This window comes from Homo sapiens, chromosome 17, assembly GCF_000001405.40.
Source record: "Homo sapiens chromosome 17, GRCh38.p14 Primary Assembly".
Lineage (NCBI taxonomy): Eukaryota > Metazoa > Chordata > Mammalia > Primates > Hominidae > Homo > Homo sapiens.
In genome coordinates this window covers 60,845,141-60,871,215 of record NC_000017.11, presented here as the reverse complement: position 1 = coordinate 60,871,215, position 26,075 = coordinate 60,845,141, and the positions used below count along the sequence as shown (strand labels likewise).

General features: G+C 36.8%; 1 protein-coding gene and 1 pseudogene across 8 annotated transcripts in view; both read right to left on the bottom strand.

Annotated features, from left to right (window-relative positions):
• Positions 1–26,075, bottom strand: part of BCAS3 (BCAS3 microtubule associated cell migration factor) — a 714,981-nt gene that overhangs the window by 521,616 nt on the left and 167,290 nt on the right. For all 8 annotated transcript variants that reach the window (NM_001353144.2, NM_001353145.2, NM_001330413.2 and 5 more), the window contains exon 8: positions 2,533–2,640. In NM_001353144.2, the coding sequence (NP_001340073.1) occupies positions 2,533–2,640 (108 nt within the window). The remainder of the gene's footprint in view (positions 1–2,532; positions 2,641–26,075) is intronic.
• Positions 19,271–19,952, bottom strand: HMGN1P28 (high mobility group nucleosome binding domain 1 pseudogene 28; annotated as a pseudogene).

Sequence of the window (26,075 nt, the reverse complement as noted above, 5' to 3'; positions counted from 1 at the left end):
TCCAGTCTGGGTGACAGAGTGAGATCCAGTCCTCCCAACTCCCAAAAAAGAAAAGGAAATAGAATTCATAAATTACCTACATCACCAGATAACCTACAGTCATTAAATTAGCAACGTAGGAATATTACAAACAACTAAATTCCAATAAATTAGAAGACTTAATGGACAAATGACTGGGAAGACCATTGTCAAAACTATTGATAAATTATCAAAACTAATAAATGACAAATTATCAAGGCAAATTATCAAAACTTGTGCTAGAAAGAACTTTAAAGTCTTAATAGACTTGTAAATATAAAATAAATTGAATTTGTAATTGAAAATGTTCCTACAAATAAATGGTATTATCTTTCATGGTTAGAGTTAGAATTCACATGGCATCGTTTTTTGTTGTAGGAGTCAAGACTTGAGTTTTTTCTGTATCAATATCTGAGTGCTGGAGCAATATTTATTGAAAAAACTTACCTGCAGCGGAACCTTTATAAGTCACATGTCTATAGAGGTTGTGTGTGTCTAATCTGAGATTCTACTTTGTTGCATTGGTACACTTATCTATATTTTCATTAGCATCAGACTTTATAAATTACTGTTTTATTGGGGGGTTACAATGGAGGAGCGATAAGTGTTCTGAGTCAGTGTTGCTACCTTGTTTCAGTAAGGTTTACATCATATCTTCTCTTTATTACATTTATTTATTTGAAGACTTATTACCCTTAACATTGCCTGCCATACTGCCAGAAGGAATTTTCAAGGATACATCTGTTCCTGCACACTTCCCGAGACCCTTTTGATCCCTTAGTGCTTTAAACTACTAGGTCTCCAACAGAGCCTATGCTTCTGGGAGTGAACCATAGTTTACTTATGTCCCTTCTGCACCAATAAATTCCCACCATAGTCTCCTTTCTGCCATATCATACACTCTTGTCATATCACCTCTTGCTAGGGCTCCCGAATAAGCTCTACCTTCCTCAAATTTAAAATTTCTAGTTGTAGTATTCACTCTTGTGCAGTTATGAATTAAGCATGGGCTACAGGTGATTTTATATGTGCCATTTATTGATACGTACGGTTTCTGGAGAATGAGGAGCAATTCAGATATAGATGACTACATTTATCTGTGGGGGACCTGAAACCTTTAAATAAAGTACCTAAGCAACTGAGCAACCATATTTTGCGATTAATTTTCAGATGATATACAATTACAGTTTTGATTTCCTCTTTAAAATGGAGCAAACATTTTAAATTAAAGAGGAAAGTAAATAAGAGAAAGAGTTTTGTGTTGTTGTTTTTTGACTTCTAGTATATTTATGTAATTGAAATACAAGGAAGCTGTGGTCTAAAAATCTTCTCTGTACTTTTTAGTATGTGTTCACATTATTTTTTGACCAAATAATATGTAATCAAGTTTGTGACAGCACAAAGGACAGTTCAGGGTTAAATATGTCTGCAGGATCTACCCATTCAATAACGTTGTTTAACACTTCTATACCCTTCTGATCAACTTGATGTGTCATAGGACAATCATATTATTCTAGCAATAATATATTGGGTATTTTTCCTACATCCTATAATTTTCATCTTTCTATACTTGAATTCAAATATTTCTCTTATTAGTATCAAAACCCACCTTCCTTTTATTTGTATTTTTTAAGTATGTCTTTGCCCTCCCTTCTACATTCAACCTTACTGAGTCACGTTTCAAAACATCTCTTTAAACTCTAACCTGTGAGTCTTTTGCTTCACTTAAATTTACTGAAATGGCAGAAAACAATTTATTTTCTATATTTCAGGTGTTTTGCTTTTTAATGGCATGGAAGATTTATACGAGGCATGTAAGAGCTAATGATCAAGATATTTACCATCCCAGGGCTTCAGTTTGCTTAAACGGAAAAGGAAAGTGCTGAGTGATAGAAGATTCCTAAGGTTCCTTTCTCCTCTAATGTTCTGTGATTAATTTGTCATTAGCAGTAGAGGTCACATAGAAGTTCAAGATAGATCTGAATATTTTCCCAGCAATTAAATGAAATAAATTTTAAAGGATACAAATTAGTCTAGTCCCTATTTTAGCTCCACTGTGAAGTGTGAAGGAATAAAAATATTTTAAAGCATTTTTTTATAGTTCAGGAACATGCTTTTCAAAAATTTTGGTGGTTTCTCACAGCAAAACTACATTTCACATCATAAATCAGCATACACAAAATACATATAAAAAGCTACATTAAAATATTTCTCAAAACCATACTTAACCTTTTTAAGTTTGCTCAGATACTTTCTATTCATTTCCATTTTGTTTTACAAATGCTTGTTATATCCCACTAAACTGAATTCACAATTCCCTAATGGATCAAGACTAGAAGTCTGAATATATTCATCAAGAAATCTTAGAGTTATTCCACTGAACAGAATTCAGAAGGTGTTTCCTTGAGATTTTTAAAAATAAATCTAAGTTAGTCATTGAAACTGGTAGAGTTCTCCATGCCCAGGAGAGCATGTTTCTTATTTTACACAAGAAACCCATGAAAAAATCCTTACCGTTTATTGCAATGGAGATCATAAATAGGTGTCTTAAATTGAATGGACTTGACCATCTCCCCAGTACGAAGTGAATACAGATCCACACAACAGTACGGTGGGCTTGTGCTAAAAAAGAAAAAAGAAAGAAAAATGTCATTTTTTTAAAAAAGAAAGACCAATAATCTCTATACTTTCTCATTAACATAATATTCAAACCTCTGATTAACAAGATATTAGTAAATTGATTCAAAACTTATCCCAAAAATGATCATAATACATCCCTTATTTTAAGTCAACAAGTTAGGAATGCAAAATTTGGCAAAGAAAAAAATATCACTCACCAAATTAGTACTACACAGAAGAAAAATGATATGATTAGGCTGGTGCAGTTACTCACACCTGTAATCCCAGCACTTTGGGAGGCCGAGGCAGGTGGATCACGAGGTCAGGAGTTTGAGACCAGCCTGGCCAACATGGTGAAACCCTGCCCCCACTAAAAAAATACAAAAATTAGGCAGGCATGGTGGCATGTGCCTGTAGTCCCAGCTTCTCTGGGAGGCTGAGGCAGGAGAATCGCTTGAACCTAGGAGGCGGAGGGTGCGGTGAGCCAAGATCACACCACTACACTCCAGCCTGGGTGACAGAGCAAGAATCCGTCTCAAAAAAAAAAAAAACATGAAAGAAAAGAAAAATTATATGATTACACCAATAGATACATAAAAGAATCTAATAAACTTCAAAGCCTATTCATGATAAGAAACATTTCCTTAATACGATAAAGGGTACCAACCTTAAAACTAACGAACAAAAACTAGCAAACACCCATAAAATATGAAAAGGTCTGACCCTAAAATCAGGATGTAGGAAAAAATGCTTATTATCATAACTTCTATTCAACACAGTATGGAAGGTCTTGTGCATAAGCCAAGAAAAGTAATTACTATAAGGAGAAACTAAAGCTGTCATTATTTGCTAAAAACTTGATTGTATAAAAGCAAAAAATACCAATCTGTGCATAGAAATATAGATCATCTGTGCACACACACACAGAGGCAAATTCATAATAAAGACCAACTGTTAGAATATATGGATTTACCAAGGTCTCTAGATAAAAGTTTAATATACAAACATCAGGTATATTTTTATAAATTGAGAAACAATTAGTAAAATTTTTTTAAAAATCATATAAAATGACATTAAATATCAAAACTATTGACTATCTTGGAACAAATCTAAGGAAAGATTCATAATATATCTACACAAGAAGAATAAAATGGTTTTTTAAAAACCTACGTAGGCCAGGCGTGGTGGCTCACGTCTGTAACCCCAGCACTTTAGGAGGCCAAGACAGGCAGATCACTTGAGGTCAGGAGTTTCAGATCAGCCTGGCCAACACAGCGACACCCCATCTCTATTAAAAATACAAAAATTATCCGGGCATGGTGTCAAGCACCTGTAATCCCAACTACTTGAGAGGCTGAAGCAGGAAAATTGCTTGAACCTGGGAGGCGGAGTTGCAGTGAGCCAAGATTGTGCTACTGCACTCCAGCCTGGACGACAGAGTGAAACTGCCTCAAAAAAAAAAAACAAAAACAAAAAAACCTACCTAAAAGAAAATAACATGGCCTAAAAGACCTCTAAATTGATAGTTTAAAACCTCATCAAAAATATACCAGACATGAGATCTCATTCTAGAATGTATATGGAAATGCATTCCACATAATAAGACTTATTGTAAAGGTACAATAAAGAAAAAACTGTGTTCTAGACAGAGGGACAGAACATATTTTAAGAACAAGAATTTCTTAAAATAAAATGAGTAAGCAAAGGGGGAATCAATAAAACAAAAACTTTGTTATTTTTAAAGATAATAGAATCAATAACTCTGGTCAAAGTGTTCAAAAAAGTAATAAAGAAGGAACAAACAAATAATGAAGGAAACAGGAAATATTCTGATGACACAGACAAATGCCTTAAAATGTACAGAGTGCCAAAACCAATCTACACATAAAGATAATTTGAATAGCTCACGATCTAAAAAGAAATTCAATTCATAACTTCTTGCAAAGAAAATCCTCAAAACAAAAAATTATACCTATCATACATGAACTCTTTCGTAAGGTAGAAGAGTCACTTTCCAACATATTTTATAATGTCAGTAGCACATATCCAAAAACTAAATAAATATATTGCAAGAAAATAAAATATATGCTTGTATATCTATATGTCTCATAAATATACACCCAAAACTCATTAAGAAAATATTAGCAAATAGCTGGGGGCAGTGGCTCATGCCTGTAATCTCAGCACTTTGGGAGGCCGAGGCAGGTGGATCACCTGAGGTTGGGAGTTCAAGACCAGCCTGACCAACATGGAGAAACCCCGTCTCTACTAAAAATACAAAAATTAGCCAGGGGTGGTGGTGCAAGCATGTCTGTAATCCCAGCTACTCAGGAGGCTGAGACAGGAGAATCGCTTGAAACTGATTTCAATCTTGAGCCGAGATTGCATCACTGCACTCCAGCCTAGGCAACAACAGTGAAACTCTGTCTCAAAAAAAAAAAAAAAATTAGCAAATAAAATCCAGCAATACAAAACCAGGTGAACTTTATTGCAGGAATGCAAGGCTGCTTTACTACAAAATATCTATTAATGTAATTCACCATATTCACAGAAAAAAGGGGGGAAACTACCATGATTATCACATTAGAAAGATGCAGATATGGCATTTTTAGGAATAAAAATGCAACACCCTTTTCAAGAGAAAAACACTCAACAAACCATAATTAGAATTTCTTCTACCTTATAAAGTGCACCTATAAAAAAATCTACAGATATAAGAATAAACACCTTCCCCATAAGGTCAAGAACGAGGCAAAATTGTCTGCTTTTATCACTTCTACTCAACATTGTATAAGAAGTCTTACCCAGCGCAATAATTACAGATAAATAAATTTAAAGCATCCAGATTGTCAAGGTAGAAATAAAACCATCACAGATAACATGATCTATTTATAGATAACATTATCTACATAAAAAATCCCAAAGAATCTCTTTAAAAAGCTACTAGAACTTTACCAAGGTTGCAGAATTCATGGTCTACATACACAATCATGTTTGTATAGAAATGAACAATTTGAAACTGAAAGTATTTGCAATAGCATGAAAATATGAAATAATTCTATGTAAGTCTAACAAAATACATGCAAGATTTGTATACTAAAAACTATAACATGCAGATAAAATAAATCAAAGACCTAAATAAATAATAGTAAATACCATGTTCTTGGATTGGGAGTTATAATTTTCTTAAGATGGCAAGTCTCCCCAAACTGATCTATGTATTTAATAATCACAATCAAAATCCTACCAGGCCTTTTTAAAGACGATGACAAGCTAACTTTAAAATCTTTATGCAAATTAACATGATTCTTACATACGAGCATACCTAATTTACTGCACCTCACTTTACTGTGCTTTACAGATATTGCATTTTTTTTTTTTAACAAATTGAAGGTTTGTGGGAAACCTGTGTCAAGCAAGTTGACTGAAGCCATTTTTACAACACTACGTGCTCAACTAGTGTCTCTCCATCACATTTTGGTAATTCTCATAATACTTCAAACTCTTTCATTTATTATTATATCTGTTAGAATGATCTGTGATCAGTGATCTTTGACGTTATTATTGTAATTGTTTTGGGGCACCACATACTGGACCCATAGAAGACGGTAAATTTAATCAATAAATGAGTGTGTTCTGAAAGCTCCACCTACCAGCTATTCTCCTGTCTCTCTCCCTCTCCTCAGGCCTCCTTCATCACTGAGACACAGCAATATTGAAAGTAGACCAATTAATAATCCTACAATAGCCTCTAAGTGTTCATTTGAAATAAAGAGTTGCATATCTCTCATTTCAAATCAAAGGCTAGGAATGATTAAGCTTAGCAAGGAAGACGTACTGAAAGCTGATACAGGCAGAAAACCAGACCTCTTACACCACATCACCAAGTCATGAACACAAAGAAAAAGTTCTTGAAGAAATTAAAAGTGCTACTCCAGTGAACACATGAATGAGAAGAAAGTGAAACAGGCTTATTGCCGATATGGAGAAAGTTTTAGTGGTTTAGATAGAAGACTAAACTAAACACAACATTCCCTTAAGCCAAAGCCTAATCCAGAGCAAGGTCCTAATACTACCCATTGTAGTGCCTAAATGACTTAGCTGGATCCCTACCCCATTTTTGTTGGCCAATGCAATGCCTATGTGATATGGCTAAATTCCTAGTCAGCTTTAACTCCATTTATTTTTAGGAAACAGGATGTCTGTGGTCAGAAGTTCCTTCTTAGGTCTAACCCAGCTAAAGCTGATGAAATCCACAATGGCAGTTTAATCGACCTCTGAAGAACCTCTAGCTTCATTATAATCCAATTTCCATGCTAAGTGACACTCCCATCAGCACCATGACAGTTGACAATCACAATGACAAAGACCAGAAGAGACCAGGAAAGCATAGAAAAGAGGTGGCTCCTTGATTCCAGGAAAATCTCCATCCCTTTCCAAGAAAAACATATTCCTCTCCTGGCTCTTAATGCCCAAACCCTTCATTAAAGATGCCCTATATCTGTAACTTCCAGGTTTCTCAGGAGCTGAGAAGTTAAGCTAAGTTCCCACTTCTCCAATTCCAAGGCTACTGAATAAAGCTGCACTGCCTGATACTCATTTTCAGTTTGATGTGTTGGTTTCATGACGCTGAACAGGAAAGAGCCCCGTAAGGGGTAACCAGGACTCTCCATCAGCAAAAAGATTATGATTCACTGAAGTATCAGAACATCAGTATTTTTTAGCAATAAAGTATTTTTTAATTAAGGTATGCACATTGATTTTTTTTTGACATAATGCCATTATACACTTAAGAGACTATAGTATAGTGTAAACATACCTTTTTTGGTTTTGTTTTTGTTTTAGATACAGGGCCTCACTCTGTCACCTGAAATGGAATTCACTGTAGCCTCTAATTCCTGATCTCAAGCAATCCTCTAGTCACAGCATCCTGAGTAGCTGGGGCTACAGGTGCGCACCACCATATTCAGCTAATTTTTTTATTTTATTTTATTTTTTTAGACAGTGCCTTGCTTTGTTGCCCAAGATGGTCTTAAACTCCTGGCTTCAAGCAAGCCCCCCACCTTACCTCCCCAAAGTGCTGGAATTACAGGAATGAGCCACCGAGCCTAGCCAAACATAACTTTTATATGCACTGGGAAACCAAAAAATTAACGGGACTTGCTTTATTATGGAATTTGCCTTATTGGGGTCATCTTGAACTGAACCTACACTATATAATATCTCTGAGATATGGATGTATACAAATGATATACATGTATAAGACATATAAAGCTGCAATAGTCAGGATAGTATGGTACTGGTATAGGCATACACAAATATTTCAAGGAAACAGAATAGTGAGTCGAGAAATAAACTCACATTTGTATGGCCAACTCATTTTCATCAAAGGTACAATATAACTAAATGATGAAAAGATCATTTTTGGAACAAATGGTGCCAAAAGAATCAGATTTCTATATGAAAAAAATTAAATTGCTCCAAAAACAAACTCAAAATGGATCATAAGTCTAAAAATATAATAGCAAAAACTATGTGTCAAGGACAAACTACAGGAGAAAAATCTTTGTAACCTATTTCTTGAGAAAAATCTTTGTAACCTATTTCTTAAACAGAAAAAGAAATGCATGAAAATAGATATAACTGACAAAACACAATTTATCAAAATGTGAAACTTTAACTGTTTAACAGACAAAAATTAAAAATGAAAAGGCAAGTGCCATGTTATGAAAAAATAAATGCAAAAATATATATCTGACAAAGGTTTGTGTCCAAAATATTTTTTAAATTCTGCATGCACCTGTAGTCTCAGCTACTAGGAAGGCTGAGGCAGGAGCAATTTGAGGATGCAGTGAGTTCTGATCATACCACTACACTCCAGTGTGGGCAACAGAGTGACACCCTGTCTCAAAAAGAAAAGAAAAGAAAATCTTATGACTCAACAGTGATGATGCATGCAACACATTTTTTACCACCTCTATGCACAGAAACTAGAAAACATAGGAGAGATGGATAAATTTCTAGAAACACAACAACCTCCCAAAATTGAATCAGGAAGAAATTAAAACCCTGAACAGAACAATAATGAATTCCAAAATTGTATCTGTCATTTTTTAAAACCTACCAATGAGAAAAAGCCCTGGACCAAATGAATTCACAGCCAAATTCTACTAGATGTATAAAGAAAAGCTGCTACCAATCCTACTGAAATTATTATAAAAAGTCGAGCATGAGAGATTCCCCCTAACTCATTCTATGAAGCCAGCCTCATTCTGTTTTTTGTTTGTTTGTTTGTTTTGAGACAGAGTCTCCCTGTCTCCCAGGCTGGAGTGCAGTGGTGCAATCTAGGCTCACTGCAAGCTCCACCTCCTGGGTTCACGCCATTCTCCTGCCTCAGCCTCTCGAATAGCTGGGACTACAGGCGCTTGCCACCATGCCCGGCTAATTTTTTGTATTTTTAGTAGAGACGAGGTTTCACCATGTTAGCCAGGACGGTCTCAATCTCCTGACCTCATGATCCGCCCTCCTCGGCCTCCCGAAGTGCTGGGATTTCAGGCATGAGCCACCACGCCCGGCCGAAGCCAGCTTCATTCTGATACCAAAACCTGGCAGAGACATTAACAAATAAGGAAAATTTCAGGCCAATATCCCTGATGAACACAGATGCAAAGCTCCTCAACAAAATACCAGCAAATCAAATCCAGCAGCACACAGAAAAGCTAATCCACCATGATCAAGTAAGCTTTATTCCTGGGATGCAAGTTTGGTTCAACATATTCAAAACAATAAATGTGATTCATCATACAAACACAACTAAAAACAAAAAAACAAATGATCATCTCAAGGGATGCAGAAAAGACTTTCAATAAAATTCAATATTCATGTTAAAAACCTTCAACAAACTAGATATTGAAGGAACATACCTCAAAATAATAAGAGCCATCTATGACAAACCCACAGCCAACACGATACCGAACAGGCAAAAACTGGAAACATTCCCCCTGAGAACCAGAACAAGACAAAGACGCCTACTCTCACCAATCCTATTCAACACAGTTCTGGAAGTCCCAGCCAGAGCAATCAGGAAAGAGAAAGAAATAAAAGGCATCCAAATAGTAAGACAGGAAGTTACACTATCTCTAGTCCCAGATGATATGATTCAATACCTAGAAAACTCTTAGTCTCTGTCCAAAGGCTCTTGGATTTGTTAAACAACTCCAGCAAGGTTTCAGGATATAAAATCAATGTATGAAAATCAACAGCATGTCTATACATCGATAATATCCCAGCTGAGAGCCAAATCAAGAAAGTAATCTCATTCACAATAGCCGTAAAAGGAATACAATCCCTAGGAATACTGCTAACCAGAAAGGTAAAAGACCTCTAAAATGAGAATTACAAAATGCTGCTGAAAAAAGTCAGAGATGACACAAGCAAATGGAAAAACATTCCATGCTCATGGATAGGAAGACTCAATATCGTTAAAATGTCCATACTACCCAAAGCAACTTACAGTTTCAATGCTCTTCCTATCAAACTACCAAAGGCATTTTTCACAGAATTAGAAAAAAAAGTATTCTAAAATTCATATGAGACCAAAAAAGAGCCTGAATAGTAAAAGCAATCCTAGGCGAAAAGAATAAAGCTGGAGGCATTACACTACTTGACTTCAACTATACTACAAGGCTACAGTAACCAAAATAGCATGGTACTGATACAAAAACTGACACATAGACCAATGGAACAGGTTGGAGAACCTAGAAATAAAGCCACACACCTACAACCATCTAATCTTTGACAAAGTTGATGATAACAAACAATAGGGAAAAAACTCCCTATTCAATAAATGGTGGTGGGACTACTGGCAAACCATATGCAGGAGATTGAAACTGGGCTCTATATATGAAAATCTTTCCACTGTATACAAAAATCAACTCAAGGTGGATTAAAGACTGAAATGTAAAACATAATGCTATAAAAAGTCTAGAAACAAAAACCTAGCAAATACCATTCTGGACACATGCCCTGGCAAAGATTTTATAAGGAAGACTCCAAAAGCAATCCCAACAATTGCAACAAAAATTGACAAGTGGTACTTAATTAAAGAGCTTCAGCACAGCACAAGAAACTGTCAACAGCAAACAACCTGCAGAAGGACAGAAAAATATTTGTGAACTATGCATCTGACAAAGGTCTAATATACAGAATCTATAAGTCAACAAGCAAGAAATAACCCCATTTAAAAAATGGGCAAAGTACGTGAACAGACACTTCTCAATAGAAGACATACACATGGCCAACAAGCATATGAAAAATATGCTCAACATCACTAATCATTAGAGAGGTGCAAATCAAAATCACAATCAGATGCCTTCTCACACCAGTCAGAATGGCTATTACTAAAAAGCCAAAAAATAATAGATGCTAGCGAGGTTGTGGAGAAAAGGGAATGCTTATACACTGCTGGTGGGAATGTAAATTAGTTCAGCCACCGTGGATAGCAGTTTGGAGATTTCTCAAAGAACTTAGAATTACCATTCAACACAGGACAATCCCATTATTGGATATATATCCAAAGGAATATCAATCATTCTACCATAAAGACACATGCACTCCTATGTTCTTTGCAGCACTAGTCACAATATCAAATTCATGGAATCAACCTAGATGCCCATCAACAGAGGACTGGATTTTAAAAATGTCGTACATAGGCCGGGCGTGGTGGCTCATGCTTGTAATTCTAGCACTTTGGGAGGCCAAGGCAGGTGGATCACCTGAGGTCAGGAGTTTGAGACCAGCTTGGCCAACATGGTGAAACCCCATCTCTACTAAAAATACAAAAATTAGCTGGGCGTGGTCGTGCACACCTGTAATCCCAGCTACTTAGGAGGCTGAGGAAGGAGAATCGCTTGAACCTGGGAGGTGGAGGTTGCAGTGAGCTGAGATCACACCACTGCACTCCAGTCTGTGCGACAGGAGCGAGACTCCATCTCAAAAAAAAAAAAATGTGGTACATATTCACCACAGAATACTACACAGCATAAAAAAGAACAAAATCGTGTCCTTTGCAGCAACATAAATGCAGCTGGAGGCCATTATCCTAAGCGAATTAATGCAAGAACAGAAAACCTAATACAGAATGCTCTCACTTCTAAGTGGGAGCTAAACAATGAATTCACATGGACACAAGGAAGGGGACAACAGACACCGGGGCCTACTTGAGGGAGGAGGGTGGAAGTAGAGTGAGGATCAAAAAACTACCTATCGGGTACTATGCTCACTACCTGGGTGACAAAATAATCTGTACACCAAACTCCAGTGACATACAATTTACTGATGTAACAAACCTGAACACGTACCCCCAGAACCTAAAATAAAAGTTGGAAAAAAAATTATTTATCAAGTTTTTCTTGCTAACTCTCTTGTACATATTAAGTCATATGTTTATTTTCTGTATCAATGTTGTTTTAATGTTTAATTTTAATGTCAGCATTAAAATTAATGTTATAACATTATAATGTGGGCTAAGCTTACATTAGCTCTAAAATAAATGATTTCATGCATGAAAAATAAAAAATAAAGGTGTTCATAATAAATAAAATGACGATAATTCTATGATAACTGTTGTAGAAGCAAAAAGAAGAATACAGTTTTTTAATGGCCCTAATATGTTTAAAGATACTTGATTAAAGAAGATATACAGATAGCAAGTAAGCACATGAAAAGATGTTCAACATATTTAATTATCAGGGAAATGCAAGTTGAAACCACTAATGGATACCACTACACCCAATAGAATGACTAAAATTTTAAAAACTAGTAGTACAAAGTTATGGCAAGAATGCAAACTAATTGAAGCCCTCACACATTACTGCTGGAGACGCAAAATGGTACAGTCACTCTGAAAAATAGTTTACCAGTTTGTAAAAAAATTAAACATACATTTTCCATATGTCACAACTAGGTATTTTATTAGCCATAATAAAAAGCCTAGAAACAATTAAATGTCCATCAATAGGTGAATGGACAGTTACATATTAATGCAATGAAAAGTACTCAGCATTTAAAAAGAACAAATTATCTATAAAACAACAAAAGTGAATCTCAATACCATGACTGTGGGAGTAGGGAAGCTATACATAAAAGTCTACACACTGTATGAGTCCCTTCTATGAAAAGTTAAAAAAAAAAACAACAGCCACAACTATAATAATAGGAAGCAAATCAGTGTTGCAAGAGAGAGGGAAAGGAGGAAGGTATGGAGCACAAAGTGGCACGAGAAACTTTTGGTGTGACAGAAATGTTAGTGTATCATTTTTATGATGGTAGTTACACAAATGCATACAATTGGAACAACTGGAGGTGGGAGAGAATCTTGTATAAGCCTGAACTTCAATCTCTAAAATTGACACAAAGCAAAAATTATTTATGTTCCCTACAAATTAATCCAGTCCTCTGCTGATAAGGAATGAGTTAATAATGAATGAAATCTAACATTTTGCCTGACCAACTAGGAGGGGAAAAAAGCAGCCTGTCGCCTTCAATTAGGAGCTCATGATGGCTACAACACACTAGATACTGGAACTCCGATCACTTCACTGGCATCATCCATACAATGTCACAACTGAGAATCTTCATGCAACAAGCCTTCATTAGAAACAGACAAAACAAATGTTACGAAAGCTCAGTTTATAGATAACTGAACAAAATTTGTCAGAACCATAAACTATTTATATATGAGAAAAACCTCTCATTCAACAACTAATAGGAAAAGATAATTCTTTAAAATAAGGGTCTTCACAAATTCACACATTCACAAAGGAGTCAGCACGTTTCCTGCCAATAACACAGTTGGGTGCACGCCCGACATATTCTTTTGTTCTCTGTTTTCTCTTTTGAAAAGCCTTGACCATTTCCATGGAACATAGCAAGACAATCTTAATTTTCCTCATGGGCAGGCTGATGAGAGTGCTTTCCATAAAATAATCAGTATGCATGCCCCATAAGGTGTTATACTAAAATAGACAGACATGAAACAAGCTTTTATTTTCTATCATACAAGCCAAAAATGGTGTAGAAAACAGTGCCACAAGAAAGTTTTACACAGAATACAGTCTTCATGTGACTTCTACAGAGCTCTAATGGATTATTTTTAAAGGATTGTGTTTGACATTTAAACATGGGGCTATGACCTTAAAGGTAAACCTAATAGCATAAAGTGGGGGGAAGTTCCTAGAAGAAGTTTTTAGAGCCAAGTTTAGAATGTAACTGAATCTACTGTAAGCAAATATCAGAGGCTGTAGGAAAGGCAGGAAGGATGCAATTTTTATTAATAAATGCTTCTTTAAAAATCTGTAATTTGTGCCCAGGATCCCATATATACATATAAAAATGCATAGTAAAGGCATTTTACACTATTCATGATAAATGTAAATAGAAATGAATGCAAATTCTCTTTAACTGACCTTTTCTTTATGTAAGTAACTTGTTTTATAGTGAATTACTGAGCATGTGTGTTGAAATTTTATCAGAACAATCTGTTACCTACTGTACATTTGACCCATACCCATAAAGGAAGTTATTAAGATTTTATTAGGGAGGAAAAGGTCCTCATTTTTATATATTACAACAGCCAAAGGTATGGAATTTACACAGTGAATTCATTACAGTGAAGAGGGTTAATTAAAAGTATTTAAAGAACAAATTTCAAAAAATGCTTCTTTTATTGAAAATTAAAAGGTTAAATTAAGTAATTATGAACTATAAAACAAAATATTTAAACCAGATTTCTTAAAAGGAAAAATATTATAAATATAGAAGACAAAAATCAACAAGAAGTCACTAAACATTTTCATCTAAATGAATCTATAATTTTTTTTTTATTTTTTTGGAGACAGTCTGGCTGTATCGCCCAGGCTGGAGTGCGGTAGCTGGATCTTGGCTCACTGCTACCTCTGCCTCCCAGGTTCAAGCGATTCTCATGCCTCAACCTCCTGTGTAGCTGGAACCACAGATGCACACCACCACACCTGGCTAATTTTTTTGTATTTTCAGTAGAGACAGGGTTTCACAATGTTGGCCAGGCTAGTCTCGAACTACTGGCCTCATGTAATCCACCTGCCTTGGCCCCCGAAAGTGCTGGGAATACAGGCATGAGCCACCACACCCAGCCTCCATCTATAATTTTGGAATGCACTGGACAAACCAAAATAATTATACTTAGCTACAACTTTTTTGGATTTTCATATAATATATGTCTGAAATTCAGGCTCTAATTCTGAAAACCTATCAACCTATTCTCCACAAAATTTCTTACTCCTTCTTCCATTAATAAAAAACTAGGAGGTTGAGTCTTCATTATAACTTAAATCATCAAATATTGAGTCATAGGCATTTGCTTTAAAAGGCAATGGAAAAGATGGTAGTTTTTGCAAATAGCATCATTAAATTACTATCCCAGGAGAATCAGAAATACGTTCAGCTGACCTCGGACATGGCCTTCTTGATGGCCTTCTTTTAACAAAGTAAATAAGCAGAAATACTTCATGAAAGAGATTATATAGATGCATGAATAGCCACAAAGAAAATACAAAACAGCCCAGGCGCGGCGGCTCACACCTGTAATCCCAGCACTGTGCAAGGCCAAGGCAGGCGGGATCACTTGAGCTCAGGAGTTCGAGACCAGCCTTGACAACATGGTGAAACCCTGTTTACAAAAAATACAAAAAGTAGGTAGGCATAGTGGCATGCACCTGTGGTCCCAGCTACTTTGGGGGTTGAGGTGGGAGGATCACTTGAGGCTGGGGGTTGAGGCTGCAGTGGGCAGTGATTGTGCCACTGCACTCCAGGCTGGGTGACAAAGTGAGACCCTGTCTCAAAGGAAAAAAAGAAAGAAAATACAAAATCACTATGAGATACCACTACCCATCTATCAGAACTGATAAAAATTTAAAAATAGTGGCCGGGCGTGGTGGCACACACCTGTAGTCCCAGCTATTCAGGAGGCTGAGGCAGGAGAATGGCGTGAACCTGGGAGGTGGAGCTTGCAGTGAGCCGAGATCTCACCACTGCACTCCAGCCTGGGCGACAGAGCAAGACTCTGCCTCAAAAAAAAAAAAAAAAAAAATTTAAAAATAGTGACAACAAATGCTGGAAAAGATAAAGACAAATGGGATCACTCACACATTGCTGGTGGGAATATAAAATGGAACAGTCGCCTGGACAACAGTCTAGCAGTTTCTTATAAAACTACACATGCAACTAGCACACGAACCACCAGAGTAAGAAGGTAGGTAGACTAAAAAAAAAAAACAACAACAAAACAAAAAACTCTCTGGGCACGGTGGCTCACACCTGAAATCCCAGCATTTTGGGAGGCCAAGGTGGGTAGATCACGAGGTCAGGAGTTCGAGACCAACCTGACCAACATGGTGAAACCCTGTCTCTACTAAAAATACAAAAATTAGCCAGGCGTGGTGGCATGCATCTGTAATCCCAGCTACTCAGGAGGCTGAGGCAGGAGAATCGCTTGAACCTGGGAGGCAGAGGTTGCAGTGAGCTGAGATCGCACCACTGCACTCCAGCCTGGGCAACAGAGCAAGACTCTACAAAAAAAAAAAAAAAAAAAAACCTCACTGAAAATAAATAAGAAAAATAAGAATAATAATCCATTTTATGAATATACCACAGTTTGTTAATCCATTCATCTACTGAAGGGCAACTTGCTGCCAGGTTTTGGCAATTATAAATAAAGCTGCCATGAACATTCATGTGCAGGCTGTGTGGACATAAATTTTCAACTTAATCACAATGGCTGAACTAGTTTACCGTCCCACCAACAGTGTAAAAGTGTTCCTATTTCTCCACATCCTCTCCAGCACCTGTTGTTTCCTGACTTTTTAATGATCGCCATTCTAACTGGTGTGAGATAGTATCTCATTGTGGTTTTGATTTGCATTTCTCTGATGGCCAGTGATAATGAGCATTTTTTCATGGGTCTGTTGGCTGCATAAATGTCTTCTTTTGAGAAGTGTCTGTTCATATCCTTCGCCCACTTTTTGATGGGGTTGTTTTTTTCTTGTAGTTCAACCACTGTGGAAGACAGTGTGCCCATTCCTCAAGGATCTAGAACTAGAAATACCATTTGACCCAGCCATCCCATTACTGGGTATATACCCAAAGGATTATAAATCATACTGCTATAAAGACACATGCACACGTATGTTCATTGCGGCACTATTCACAACAGCAAAGACTTGGAACCAACCCAAATGTGCATCAATGATAGACTGGATTGAGAAAATGTGGCACATATACACCATGGAATACTATGCAGCCATAAAAAAGGATGAGTTCATGTCCTTTGTGGGGACATGGATGAAGCTGGAAACCATCATTCTCAGCAAACTATCACAAGGACAGAAAACCAAACACCGCATGTTCTCACTCAGGTGGGAATTGAACAATGAGAACACTTGGACACAGGAAGGGGAACAACACACACCGGGGCCTGTCGTGGGGTTGGGGGAGGGGGGAAGGATAGCATTAGGAGATAAACCTAATGTAAAAGACGAGTCAATGGGTGCAGCACACCAACATGGCGTGTGTATACGTATGTAACAAACCTGCACATTGTGCACATGTACCCTAGAACTTAAAGTATAAAAAAAAACAACTTACAAACAAAAAAGTGATATATCCATTCAATGGAGTATTATTCAGCAATAAAAAGGAATGAGGTGTTTATACATGCTACAACATGGATGAAAAAAAAGTATGTGATAGACATATACTTAATAAAAAACATTTTATAAGAAAACAGTATGTTTAAAATTGTGTGTAGATTTTTATTTAAGTCTGTTAAATATGCATTCATCCATTCAATTGACCACTTATGGCCTCATGGAACTTACATTTTAGAGGAAATGCATATATCTGACTACATATCTATTTGGAAGGCTAGATATAAAAATGTTACTAGTGACTATCTCGTGATTATCTCAAGCTGAAAGAATGTTTGTCTAAGTTTCCTATTTTTCTCTAGTAAATGTGTAAAAATAAAAAAGGTTATTTTGAATGGCAGTCAATAAATAATAATGACATGGTTCAATTCAGTCAAATTACCAGTTACTAAATAGACTTTTAAACACTAGCATTTGAATTCAAACATATATTTTGAAAGAAGCTTCCATGTACAGTTCACCACTAAATTTATAACTCATTTCACATAATTTTTCTGAGTGAATTAATACTATGACTAAAATGTTTTCCTCTACAAACAAATGTGAATAAAAGGAGAACTAATCAAAAAAGAGATGAGAAGTTAAAAAAAAATTTCAACTTAATGTCTCCACAGTTTCATTATATAGTTAGAATCATACAGTACAATTATCAGATTGACTTCTTTTACGGAGTAATATGCATTCATTCCTCCATGTCTTTTCATGGCTTGATACCTCATTTCTTTTTAGCACTGAATGACATTCCACTCACAGGATGTACCAATGTTTACCCATTTGCATGGTGGAGGACATCTTGGTTGTATTCAAGTTCTGGCCATTATGAATAAAGTTGCTATACGCATCTTTGTGCAGGTTTTTGGGAGGACGTAAGTTTCAACTCATTCGAGTAAACACCAAGGAGGGCAATTGGTTAATCTTATGGTATGAGTATGTTAAGTTTTGTAAGAAACTGCCAAATTGTATTTGAAAGTAGCTGTACAATTTTGCAGTCCCACTAGCAATAAATGAGCATTCCTGTTATTCCACCTCTTCTCAGCATTTGGTATTGTCAATGTTAGAGCTTTTAGCCCTTTAAAACTGTGGTATCCAATTGTTATTTTTAATTTGCAATTCCCCAATCACATACATTATTGAGCATCTTTCATATGCTTATTTGCCATGTGTATCTTCTTTGGTCAGGTTTTTGCTCTTTTTTTCTTTCATAATTGAGATTTTATTGGTTGAGGATCAGTACAGACATTTCAATTTGTACACAATTCTTAACATACATAACAAATATCTAAAAAGCCATGTATCCTAATTCTTTTTTAAAGTTATTCCAGTGACTTTCCAGCTTAAATTTGGAAGCAAATTTTCCTTAAGAGGACATCAAGTACCAGTATCTTCACAATTTGATAAGCTGTTACACACATCCCACCAATTCACAACTGAATAGCATGTATACTACATATTCAATTTTTTAATCTTTCACAGCACAGTAACAAAGTTATTAGGAAAACAGGACAACCACAACCAACGATGTTACAGAGTGGACACAATTCTGACAGGGAGAGCCATAATCAAAGAGTGGTTTTCTTTAGGAAACAATTCTACTAAAAAACAACATGGGTGCAGCACACCAACATGGCACATGTATACATATGTAACTAACCTGCACATTGTGCACACATACCCTAAAACTTAAAGTATAATAAAAAAAAAAACCACGGGAATAGAAGTAATTTAAAATGTTCAAGACATTAAATGCAGGACTGACTCCATATTGCCATTTAATATGCTTTGTATTATAGGATATGAAAACTATCCCCCATCTATGAAATGTTAAGCTGACACCCAAGACAGTCAAAGCTTCCCATAATTCAATATCCCACACTATTTTCTGGTTGTACCAAAAAATAAACAACCAGCAAATGATTTCACCTCTTAAAAAAAAGCATTTACACTTAAAAAATGGGATGAGGTGAGATTCCCTTCTTAAAAATGTTTCTAGAGCTACTAAAAAACTTGCATTTACAAAATAGTTGATAAAAATATTCCTCTGGATTGTACAAGAAGGGAGACAGGGACCACTGATAAGACATGGTATATGGTATTAATCAGACTTGGCTTCTTTCTCTCCTGCTTCATCAGAGGCTGGACTCCCCTCAGTTTTCATTTCCCCCTTTTCTGCAGGTAAATCTTCTTTAGTTTCTTTCAGCCTGTTTTCCCTTTGCTCCCCTTTGCCCTTTTATTTGTACTTCCTCGTTTCAAGCTTTAACCCAAGTTTTGGGTAGAAATTATTCACCCCGTGAAGAACATGTAGAGCTTTACAGATGGTGGTTTCAATGCTTTGCTGCTGCCTTTTTCGGCTTCGCTTCCATTTTTGCAGGAGCAAGTTTAGCTGACAACCGCGGCGATCTCCTCTTGGCCTCTTCCTTGGCGGCCCCTTCGGTGGAGCTGACCTTCCTCTCGGGCATCCTGGTGGCGGGGAGGACGTGTGCCAGGTGCCTGCGGGCCGCAGCATGCCGAGAGCCTTTGCGAAGCTGGGCTGCCTGGCTGCTGCCACTCCTCCTGCAGCCCGAGCTGCTGAGACCCTTTTGCTCATTTTTTAATAGGATTGTTCATTTTCTTACTGTTCAGGTTTAAGAGTTTTTTAGTTCTTTAGTCAGACGTGTCTTTCACCAATATTTCCTCACCATCTGCAGCCCATCTTCTCACTCTCTTAAAATAATCTTTCACGGAGCAAAAGTTTTTAATTTTAATAAAGCCCAACTTACTGATTTTTTCATTTATGATTGCGCTTTCGGTGTTGTACTTAAGAGGTCATCGCCAAAACTCAAGGTCACCTAGATTTTCTATGTTATCTTCTAGGAGCATTGCCTTTCCATACAAACTTTAGAATTACTTAGTACATATCCACAAAATAACTTGCTTGTATTTTTATAGGAATTGCACTGAATGCATAGATCAACTTAGGAAGAGATGACATTTATATTTTTTTATTTCATGTATCAGTATTTTGTTGTTTTACTCATATAGATCTTTTGCTTGTTTTACACTTAAGTATTTCATTCTTTGTTGCTAATAAAAGTATTATTCAGCAACAAAAAGAAATGAGCCATCAAGCCAGAAAAAGAAATGAGGGAACCCTGAATGCATATTGCTAAGTAAAAGAAGCTTGTCAGAAAAGGTCTAAAATTGGCCGGGCGCAGTGGCTCACGCCTCTAATCCCAGCACTTTCAGAAGCCGAGGCAGGCAGATTACCTGAGGTCAGGAGTTCGAGACCAGCCTGACCAATATGATGAAACCCCATCTCTACTAAAAATACAAAAATTAGCTGGGTGTGGTGGCGGGTGCCTGTAATCCCAGCTTCTCAGGAGGCTGAGACAGAAGAATCATTTGAACTGAGGAGGCAGAGGTTGCAGAGAGCCGAGATCACGCCATTGCACTCCAACCTGGGCAACAAGAGCAAAAACTCCATCTCAAAAAAAAAAAAAAAAAAAAAAAAAAAAACAGTGGTGCCAGGAGTTAGGGGGAGGGAAAAAAGGAGTAATAAGCAGAGTACAGGGAATTCTCAGGACAGAGGAACTATCTTTATGATACTGTAATAGTGGGTACAGAGCATCATACATTTCTCAAATGCCACACAATGTACAACTCAAGGGGTGAAACTTAATATAAACTATGGATATTAGTTGTATCAGTATCAGCACACTGACTGAAACAAATGTACTAGCCACACTAATTTAATGTGTTAATGATGGGAGAAAGTGGATGTATCAAAGAATAGGGGAGTCCAGGCACCAAGTGCAGTGGGTTCCGTCTCTAATCCCAGCACTTTTGGAGGCCAAGGTGAGATGATTGCTTGAGCCCAGAAGTTCAAGACCATCCTGGGCAATGTAGCAAGACCCTATCTCTACAAAAAATAAAAAATCAGCGAGGCACGGTAGCACGCCTGTAGTCCCAGCTACTTGGGAGGTTGAGGCAGAAGGATCACTTCAGCCCAGGAGTTCAAGACTACATACAATGTGCTATGATTGTGCCACTGTACTCCAGTGACAGAGTGAGAGCCTGTCAAGAAGAAAGAAGGAACAGGAGGAGGAAAAGGAAGAAGAAAGAAGACCACTGTACTTTTCACTCAATTCTTCTATGCACCTCTGAAAGTGCTGGGATTACAAGCATGAGCCACTGTGCCCGGCCTGATATTTGTTAAAAACCAGTACTAGGCACCACTTGCTGTTGAACCTGAGCTACAAGTTATAATAATAGCTTTCCTTGAGAGAAAATCTCTTTATAAACTTTTTTTAATTGTGGGAGAAAAAATAAGTCTTATTTTCTTCATAAGAATACAGAAAACATACCATCCTCAAGCAAATAATAAACACCCAACCAAGTCCATTACTCTCCTCTGCACACTACCCCTCCACAAAAAAGTAGTAAAAACAGAAAGTGTACATGGAGCTATAAATAGACTAGTTCATGCAGAAAACTGAATTTGTGAAGTACAGTACATTTTCCAGAATTAAAAGGAAATGAATAAAGAGATTTAAAAGACAGCAGATTAAAAAAAAAAAAAAGAACTGAACACAGAGATTCAGTTTGTGAAATTACATGTTATTTCAAAAAAATTCTGTCTCAAGACTGCAGCATCAATCCTTCTCTGACAGTTTTTAGCCTCTCAGCTTGCTAGCCTGGCCTAGTTCTTACTTGCTGTACCCCCAAATTACACAAACCAATTCCTTAAAACGGTTTTGTGTGTATCTATGTGTCTATCTGTGTTTATATACACTGACTAATATACTGGGGAATAAAAACTAAAACACTCATACACAGGGCCAAACATTTGCTCAAAGAAAAACAGCAAGGACTCTCGTTTTGCATCTCTGGCTGAGCCTCTGGCTCATCTCAAGCGGGAAGTGAAGACTAAGGCAGAGTTGTAGATGGCATTACTACACATTCAAGGACTGTCCTGGTTTAAAGCCAATCTGCTAATACAAGAGTACTTTTTTTTTTTTTTTGTAGTCCCAGCTACTTCAGGGGGCTGAAGCCAGAGGACTGCTTGAGCCCTGCAGGTCAAGGCTGCAATGAGCTATGATCATGCCACTGCACTCCAGCCTGGGTGACAGAGCAAGACCCTGACTTAAAAAAAAAATAAAGAAGGAAACTTGAAAACATGATAAATGGCTCATGAAAAACCCACAGCTAACTCCATATTCAATAAAGAAAAACTGAAAGTTTTTCCCCTAACATCAGGAACAAGACAAGGATGCCCACTATTATTCAACACTGTACTGAAAGATCTACGCAAAGCAATTAGGCAATAAAAAGAAATAAAAGGTATCTATTCACAGATAATATATTCTTATATGTCGAAAATTCCAGATAATCTATAAAAGTACCAGAACTGATAAATTCAACAAAGTTGCAGGATCAACACGCAAAATCTAGCAATGAACAATCCAAAAGACAAATGAAGAAAACAGTTCCATTCATAACAGCAATACAATATCTTTCGAAATTCCAGTGGCCTTTTTTGCAGAAATGAGAAATCCAATCCTAAACACAAATGTAATAAGTACAAGGTGCACCAAACAGCCAAAACAAAGTTGGAAAAGAACAAATTTGGAGGACTCACATTTTTAAACTTACAACAAAACTAGGGTTATCAAAATACTGTGAAACTGGCCTAGCATTAGACATTCCAAAAATGAAATAGAATTCAGAGTCCAGAAATAAATTAATGATGAATTAACTTTTGAAAAAGCTGCCAAGTCTATTCAATGGGGGAAAGGACAGTCTCTTCAGTAAATTATGTTGGGACAAGTAGATATTTCTCTGCAAAAGAATGAAGGGAAACCCTAGCCCCCAACTCAAAATAGTTCTAACCCAAATATAAAACTCTTAGGAGCAAACAAATAGGTAAATCTTCCTGACCTTGAATTTGGCAATTGATTCTCAGATATGATACCAAAAGTATAAGCAACAAATGAATGAACAGATAAATCAGATTACATCAATATTTTAAAATTTCTGTGGAACAAAGGACATTATTAAGAAAGTAAAAAGAAAACCACAAAATGTGAGAAAACATTTGTAAATAATATATCAAATAAGGGTCTAATATTCTGAATATATTGTTAATTTTTGTAATTCAACAAGAAGCCAAACATTCCAATGAGAAAAAAAAAGTGGGCAAAGGAATTGAATAGACATTTTTCCAAAGAAGATATACAAATGGTCAACATGTGCACAAAGGATGCTCAACATCATTAGTCATTAGGATAATGCAAATCAAATTCACAATGAAATATAACTTTACAGCCACTAGGTTGGTCATAATTTAAAAATTAAAATCAGAAAATAACAAGTATTGGTAAGAATATGAAGAAATTGGAACTCTGGTCCACTGCTGGTAGGAATATAAAATGGTACATCTCCTGTGGAAAACAGCTTGGCAGTACCTCAAAAAGTTAAACATAGAATTATCATACGACCCAGCAATTCTACTCCTAGGTATATACCCAAGAGGAAGCAAGCATATGTTCACACAAAAACGTCTACATGAATGTTCATAGTAGCATTTTCATCATAACCACAAAGTAGAAACACCCATATGTCTCTCAACAGATGAATGGATAAACAAATTGTAGTGTACAATGTATACAAAATATACAATGTAATATTATTCGGCCATAAAAAGGGATGAAGTACTGACACACACTACAGCATGGATGAACCTCCCAAACATTATGCTAAGTGAGAGAAGTCAGAAACAAAAGGTCACATATTGTGTGAATCCAGTTATATGAAATACCCAGAACAGGTCAATCCACAGAGACAGAAGGCAGATTGTTGGTTGCCAGTGGCTGGAGGAAGGAGGAAACGGGGAGGGACTGTTTAACGGGTATGGGGCTTTCTTTCGATGTGAATAAAATGTTCTGTAACTAGTGGTTGTGGTGATACAACATTGTAAATGTGCTAAATGCTGCTGAATTGTATACTTTAAAATGGTAACTTTTATATTATGTAAAGTCACCTCAACAGAAAGAGAGAAAGAGAGGGAGGGAGGGAAGAAGGAAAGAAGGAATGAAGGGAGGGAGGCAGGGAGGCTGTCAAGATTCATATCAGATAAAGTAGACCTTGGAGCTAAGAAAATAAGCAGAGACAGAGAGGAAAATAAAGATAGAAGGGTCAATACATCAAGAAGACAAAGCAACCCTAAATGTATATATATTGAACAACAGAGCTGGAAGTTATCTGAAGTAAAAATGGGTAGAGCTGAAAGGAAAAATAGACAAATCCACAATTATAATAGGAAAGACTTCAACATACTTCTCTCAACAACTGATAGAAAGACTAGACAAAAAAACCATATAGAACAACTCACAAACGCCATCAGCTAACAGGAACTTGACATTTATATAATACCCAGTAACAGCAGAGTACAGATTATTTCAACATTGAGGTTTTGAGCCAATCTGAATGAGAACTTGGTGATGCTATTAAACAAAACAGGAAGTCAGTGGGGATCCCTGTGTATACATATGCAACCATACTAATAAAAAAGGACTTTTGACATAAGTAATATACCTGATCCTGACTGAAAAAACTGATAAAGAAGTAGAATGGGGCTGGGTGTGGTGGCTCATGCCTGTAATCCCAACACTTTGGGAGATCAAGGCAGGAGGATCACTTGAGCCCAGGAGTTTGAGACCAGTCTGTGCAACAAAGCAAGACCCCCTTTCTACAAAAAAATTTAAAAATTAATTGGGCATGGTGGTACATGTCTACGGTCCCAGCTACTCAGGAGACTGAGGTGGGAGGATTGCTTGAGCCTGGAAGGTTGGGGCTGCAGTGAGCCAAGATGTCACCACTGCACTCCAGCCTGAGTGACAGAGTGAGACTAAGTCTCAAAAAAAAAAAAATTAGCCAGGTACAGTGGTACATACCTGTGGGCCCAGCTTCTCAGAATGCTGAGGTGGGAGAATCACTTGAGCCCAGGAGTTCAAGGTTGCAGTGAGCTATGACAAAGTGAGACTTTGTGAAAGAGAGAGAGAGAGAAAAAAAAAAAAAGGAAAAAGAAAAGAGAAAGAAAGAAGTAGAAAGGGAGTATGTAACCAAGAGAATAGAACACAGGGTGGAACCTCTAGGAACGATAGCATTTTCAAAATTTTTTATACTTTATTTTTAAGTCTCCATCAGATTGTGATCTTCTTTAAGCCAATAATAGTATATTATTCATTTTGCATGCCCAGGCATGTGCTTAGACATAGTTTACCGTCAATAAATGTTTTAGAATGAAGCAGAAACCAGGAGAACTGAAGGGAAAACAAGATGTTTGGAAACAGAGTGTAATGAGCAGTGGCCACTGTTAAGGATCATAAGCAATGGGAATTTATCCCTTGTGGTCTGTTTTATTATATCACACTCAAACATTACAACTTAAAAATCCACCTTGTCACAGTAATCTCCCTAAACAATTCTCTCTAATCATTTGATTCCTGTTTCTAAAGCTTTCAATGACACACCACTGCCATGAAGTTCAAACTTTTATCTAAGCAAATAAAGACCTTCACGAGATGGACTCAGGTTTTTGTTTGTTTGTTGGGGTTATCTATTTATTTATTTAGAGACGGAGTCTCCCTCTTGTTGCCTGGGCTGGAGTGCAATGGCGCAATCTTGGCTCACTGCAACCTCTGCCTCCTGGGTTCAAGCGAT